Source organism: Homo sapiens, chromosome 1 (genome assembly GCF_000001405.40).
Source record: "Homo sapiens chromosome 1, GRCh38.p14 Primary Assembly".
NCBI lineage: Eukaryota > Metazoa > Chordata > Mammalia > Primates > Hominidae > Homo > Homo sapiens.
The window spans coordinates 99,696,704-99,703,554 of record NC_000001.11 but is presented as its reverse complement, the minus strand read 5'-3'; the positions used below and the strand labels follow the sequence as shown (position 1 = coordinate 99,703,554).

Here is a 6,851-nt window from a genome sequence, read left to right as displayed (position 1 = left end):
AACTCCTGACCTCAAGCAATCCGCCTGCCTCAGCCTCCCAAAGTGCTGGATTACAGGCGTGAACCACCACACCTGGCCAAGGTTAGGGTTTAATGGGCACAAAGTTTGTTAAGGAAGATAAAAAGTTTCAGAGATGGATAGTAGTGATGGTTGTACAACACTGTGGATATGCGTAATGTACTGAACTGTACTTTAATAGCATTTATCATTATTATGTATTTTTTGCCACAATAAAAAAAGTGGAAAAAAGCTAATGTTCATAGCAGTGCTATTCACAGTAACCAAATGATGGAAACAGCCCACATATCCATCAACTGATGAACAGATAAATTGTGGTATATAAATACAATGGAATATTATTCAGCTATAAAAAGGAATAGAGTGCTGATACATGCTATAATGTGGATGAACCTCCAAACATTGTGTTAAGTAAAAGAAGTCAGACACAAAATTTACATTTTATGATTACATTTATATAAAATATCCAGAATAGGTAAGTCAATAGAGAGAAGAGAGATTGATGGTTACCAGGCACTGGGTGTGGGGCAAGAAGGGAATAGAAAGTAATTGCTTAATTAGTATAAGGTTTTATTTTGGGGTGAAATGTCTTGGGACTAAATAGAGGTGGTAGTTGACAAATTGTGAATATAAGAAATGTCACTGAGCGTCCACTTTAAAATAGTTTCACATTATGTGAATTTCATCTCAGTAAAAAGATTATCTTGTTACTGCTCTTGGATTATCACTTTGGGTAGAAAAAAACTGGGGGTATTGCTGGCCATAAATTTGGTATCCATCTAATTTATTATTTTGTTGTCAAAGAAGTTAATGTAATTGTATATTATGCCTGGTCATATACCTCTGTTTTAGGGGAGAGGAAGTTCCTAGAGCATGTGCTAAAGAGTATATCTTTTTCATGTGATATCTTATTCACATGTAAAAGAAATTGTACTGTGCTCTGGGTTTTCTATGAAGACCTAAACACACTTTTGGATTTTTCAATTAGACATTGATGTATGATAGTCAAACTCTTGGGATAAGAATTTCCTGAAATCACACATTCTAAATATCTGACTTGCATGGCATGTAATGTCTGAGTAAGAGCCTACCAAATCAACCCTTCTCCACAAAACCAGTGTAAACTTCAGAAAGCAGCTGCCTGAAGGCCTCAGAGAGTGAACACAGGGCTAAATCTTTGTGACCTTGGGTTAAGCATTGATTTCTTAGATATAATACAAAAAGTACAGGGATAAAGGAAAAAAAAGATTATATTGGACTATGCTATAAATAAATACTTAAGTGCTTCAAATGACAGCATCAAGAATATGAAGACAGCCCACAGACTGGGAGAATGTATTTGTATCTGCAAATCACATAAGAAATAAGAATACGTATTTCTATAGTATCGAATATAGAAAGAATTCTAACAATTCTAGGAAGATTCCTGGAGAGAAATCCACATGCAGAGGAGGAAAACTATTTGGAGTGAGCTCTGTTTCTACATTTTAGCATCAGGGCAGTTGTAGTCAGTAGAGTGCTGGGTGGCAGAGGATCCAGTGGAAAACCTGCAGTTTCTCTAGCATAGGAAATCAGAGGACTGATGGCCGGGGCAACTGAAGCTGCTGGAGTCAGTGGGTGATCCTGAAAAGGAAAATGCTAGAGAGGGGATCCCCAATCCTGTTTGCCCACATCTCTCTCTGGTTGACCCTTGAACACGTGTGAAGCCTGATAAAAAGCATCTAAGGAAAACCTACAACTGACATCACTTAATGGTGAATGACTGAACACTTTGCCCCTATGATCAGGAACAGGACAAGTGTATGTCTGTTCTCGTCACTTTGCATCAATGTTGTATTGGAATGGCTGTAATAAAAAAAGGTAATAAGTATTGAGAAGGATGCAGAGAATTTGCATAAATATACACCACCTTTACCTCTAAGGTATGAATTATATAATAGTCATTTAAAGATTTCTATGCTGGAAGAATTAACACAGGAAGAGTATATATTTTTAGTGAGGAATATCTGCATTTTTATCAAAAAGTACAATTTTCTATATCTATACCCTTTGTGATTTTTGAATTACATACATATTACAAAGCTACAATAATCAAAATAGTGTGGTACTGGCATAAAAACAGACATATAGATCAGCGAATGGAACAGACAGCCCTGAAATAAGCCCTCTTGTCTATGGTCAAATGATCTTTGATGAGGGTGCCAGGATCACTCAGTGGGGAATGGGCAGTCTCTTCAACAAATGGTGTTGGAAAAACTGAATATCCGTATACAAAAGAATGAAGTGAGCCCTTTATGTTACATTATATACAAAAATTAATTCAAATTGATGAAAGGCCTAAGCTGAAGACCTAAAACTGTACTCCTAGAAGAAAACATGGGGAAAAAGCTCATGACATTGGATTTAGTCATACAACTTCTTGGATATGACAACAAAAGGCATAGGCAACAAAGCAAAAATAGACAAATGGGACTACATCAAACCTCAAAACTCCTATATATCAAAAGAAATAGAGTGAAAAGCAACCCACAGAATGGGAGAAAATAATTGCAAATCTTATATCTGATAAGGTGTTAATATGCAGAATATATAAGGAATTCCTGCAACCCAACAATAAAAAACCAAGTAACAAAATTTAAAAATGGGCAAAGGACTTGAATAGATATTTCTCCAAAGAAGATACACATATGGCTGACGAACGTATGAAAAGATGTTTAAAATTGTTAATAATTGAGAAATGCAAATCAAAACCACAATGAGATATCACCTCATATCCATGAAAATGGTTACTATAAAAAAACCCCAGAAAATAACAAGTGCTGGTGAGGATTTGTAGAAATTGCAACCCTTGTGCATTGTTGGTTGGAATATGTAATGGAACAACGGTTACAGAAAAGAGTATGGATGTTCCTCAAAAAAATTAAAAATAGAATTACCATATGATCCAGCAATTCCACTTCTGGATATATACCCAAAAGTATTGAAAGTGAGATCTCTATGAAATATTTGCACATCATGTTCATTGTAGCATTATTCACAATAGCCAAGAGGCAGAAGCGACTCAAATGCCCATGTATGGATGAAGAAAATGTGGTATAAACACATCGTAAAATATTATTCAGCCTTAAAAAATAAGGAAATTCTGTCACATGCAACGACAGGAGTGAACCTGGACAGCGTGAAGCTAAGTGAAATAAGCCATCACAAAAAGAAAAATACTGTATGGTTCCGCTTAGATGAGGTATTGAAAGTAGTCAAACTCATAGAAACAGAAAGTAGGATGGTGGTTGCCAGGGATGGGAAAGGAGAAATGGGGAGATGATGTTCAGTGGGTATAGAGTTTCAGTGTTGCAAGAGGAAAAAGTTCTAGGGCTCTGTTGCACAACAATGTTAATTTTCTTAGCACTACTGAATTGTACACATAAAAATGGTTAGGATGGTAAATTTTATCTTAATGTATTTGTACCACAATTAAAAATAAAAATTAAAAAATTGTATATGTAACTAAAAAACCTTCCCAGAAAGAAAACTCCAGGTCCAAATGTCTTCACTGATGAATTCCAGCAAACATTTAGGAAGAACTAATATTGAGAGTACACAAACTTTTTCGGAAAATAGAGCAGTAGGGAACATTACCCAACTAATATTATAAGGCTTGCATTACCCTGATACTAAAACCAGACAAAAGCATCACATGAAAAGGAAACTACAGACTATATTCCCCGTGACCATAAACTGAAAATCCATAATTTAAAAAAGTACTTAATGAAATATTAGCAAATTAAATTCTGCAACTTACACAAAGAGTAATACATCAAAGCCAAATGAGATTTATGCAAAGAATGCGCTGTTGGCATAACATCTGAAAAATTTGTCAATGAAATTCACCAGTTTAGACAAAAAAGGAGAAAACCCTTCTGATGATCTCAGTAAATGCAGAGAAAGCATTTGACAAAATTCAAAACACATTCATAGTAAAAACTTAGCAAACTAGGAGTGGAAGCTTCCTCAACGTAATAAATAGCATCCAGGAAAAACCTACAGCCAAAATTATATTCAATGGTGAAAGATAATACTTCCCCTCTGAAAAATCAGAACAAGGCAAAGAATGCCTGCTCTCTGCATTTATATGTAACATTGTACTGAAAGCCTTAGTGCAATAAAGCAATGAAATGAAATAAAAGTCATAAGATTAGGGAAGAAGTAAAGTTGTTTTTATTTGCAGACAACCTGATCATTAAGTAGAAAATCCTAAGGAATATATTAAAAAATGCTAAAATTAATTGAACTTATCAGAGGTGTAGGACACAAAGTCATTATAGAAAAGCATTTTTAAAATAGATGAACAGTTTTTTTAATTCATCCTCCTCCTTTACTTCCTCCTCGTCTTCTTCATCTTCCTCTTCCACTTGTTTTTGGGCAACTTTAGCAGGACCTTTTGCACCATCAAGCTTTCTAGACTTGTAGTCAGCAACATCCTTCTCATACTTCTCTTTCAGCTTTGCTGCCTTGGTGATTGATATGGTTTGGCTCTGTGACCCCAACTCAATCTCACCTGGAATTGTAATCCTGATAATCCCCACGTGTCAAGGGTGGGACCAGGTGGAGGTAATTGGATCATGGGGGCGGTTGCTGTTCTTGTGATAGTGAGTTCTCATGAGATCTGATGGTTTTACAGGTGTCTGGCATTTCCCCTTTTGGCACTCACTCCATCTTGCCACCCTGTGAAGAAGGTGCTTGTTTTTCCTTGCCTTCTGCCATGATTGTAAGTTTCCTGAGGCCTCCCCAGCAATGCGGAACTGTGAGTCAATTAAACCTCCTTCCTTTATAAATTACCCCATCTCAGGTTTTTCTTCATAGCAGCATGAGACTGGACTAATGCAGTAAGGTAAGGCTCCTTTTCACTGTCATTTAAGTTATTCCACATCTCATCCAGCTTTTTTGCCACATCTTCAATAGAGATGTCAGGCTTTGTGAATTTGATCTTGGGCAGAATTCTGAACAGAACAGGAGGAATCCAGATGGTGGTCTTTTGTGGGCATTAAGATCCTTCTTCTTGCCTCCCTTAGCTGGTATGTAATCCTTCATTTCCTGATCATAGCATAATTTATCCGCCTTTGCCATTTCATCAAATTTAGACTTCTCTTTCCCAGACATGGTCTTCCACCTCTCAGAGCACTTCTTGGAAAATTCTGCAAAATTGACAGGGACCACTGGGTTTTTCTTCTTAGGTTCTCTGCGCATCTGCACAAAGAAGGCATAAGTAGATATCTTGCCCTTTGGTTTCTTGGGGTCATGGATCAGCAAACAATATTAGAATGAAAATTCTCTCCAAATTGATCTATAAATTTAATTCCAATCAAAAGCCTAGCAGCCTCATTTGAAGGGGTTTACAGACTGATTCTAAAATTCACATGGGAAGACAAAGAACCTTAAATGGTCAAGACAATATTTAAAAAGACAAAGTAGCAATGAGCATGCCTAGTGCCCAGATTTTGTTTTCTGTATCATTCTCCAATAAAAGCAACAGAAACTCTTGGATAAGTTGCTGATTCCAGAACTGGGGTAAGAAATACATAGGATGAGACTGGGTCATCTTGTAGTGCCAGAAAGTAAGGAAAAAACAAAGCAAAATCACTTACAGGGATATGTCAAAGGGGCACAGGAGCCTACTGAATGAGCTTTCAACAGCCAAAGCTGGACCAACTTGAGCAGCAAGTTGTGTTGGATTATAACCCATGGTTTGTACCCTGGTACAAAATACATACTCAGCAATTTTCAGAACTGTCAAGGTCATCCAAATACGAGGAAAGTCTGAAAAAGAGTCACAGCCAAGCAGAGCAAAAGGAGACATGACAACTAAAAGTACCATGGTTTTCTTTTTGGGATTTTGGAACAGAAAAAGGACATTAGCTAAAGACTAAGGGAATCTGAATAAAGTTTGAGACTTTAGTTAATAATATTGTATCACTACTGGATTGTTAATTGTAACAGATGTACAATGCTAATGTAAGAAGTTAAAATAGGAAAATCTGGGTACAGGGTATGTGGTAATTTTGTGCTGTCTTCTCAATTTTTCTGTTAATCTAAAACTGTTTTTAAAGTGTATTAAAAAAACAAGATAAGATTGGAGGACCTAACCCGACTCGATTCCAATATTTATTATAAAACTACAATATTAACCAGTATAAATAAAGTGTGCAGTATTCATGAGAGATATGCAGATGAATGGAATAGAGCAGAGACTCCATATGTAGGATCTCACTTCTAGGACCAACTAATTAACAGACGGGTCCAGGTAATTCAATGTGAAAAATAATAGTGTTTCAACAAATAGAGCTGGACCAACTGAATGTCTCTGGGAAAAAAATACCCTGAACTATTATTTCACTTACCCTTCCCCAAACTTTTCCTTTACTTACTTCTACTCCACTTAACTTGAAATGCCCCATTGACCTAAAATGAGCACTAAACATACAAAACACCAAGATATGAAATGATAAGGGTATATGGTGTCTACCTTCATGTGTGACACCTCAGCCAGACTTGATGATGGGCAGGACACCTGGTTCTTTTAATTCGCTGACAAATTGAGTCCTCACATGACTGTGTTAGACAGGTGACATGTACCTCATTTTATAGATAAGGATACAGGCTCAGGTAAGTTGTTTGTTGCCCAGGGTTATACAGCTAGTGTGGCAGACACTGTTGGTGCCTGTGTCATTTCCCCATGGTCCATTTTTGCAGCACCATAGCTGCAGTGGACAGTTCCAAGTGAGTTCAGACTTACCATCCTTCTAGAGGCATGTTCCGTGCTTCTTTCTTCTTTTCAC

The 6,851-nt window shown here is 36.8% G+C and overlaps 1 pseudogene; it reads right to left on the bottom strand.

The window, feature by feature from the left end:
* HMGB3P10 (high mobility group box 3 pseudogene 10) lies at positions 4,358 to 5,340 on the bottom strand (annotated as a pseudogene).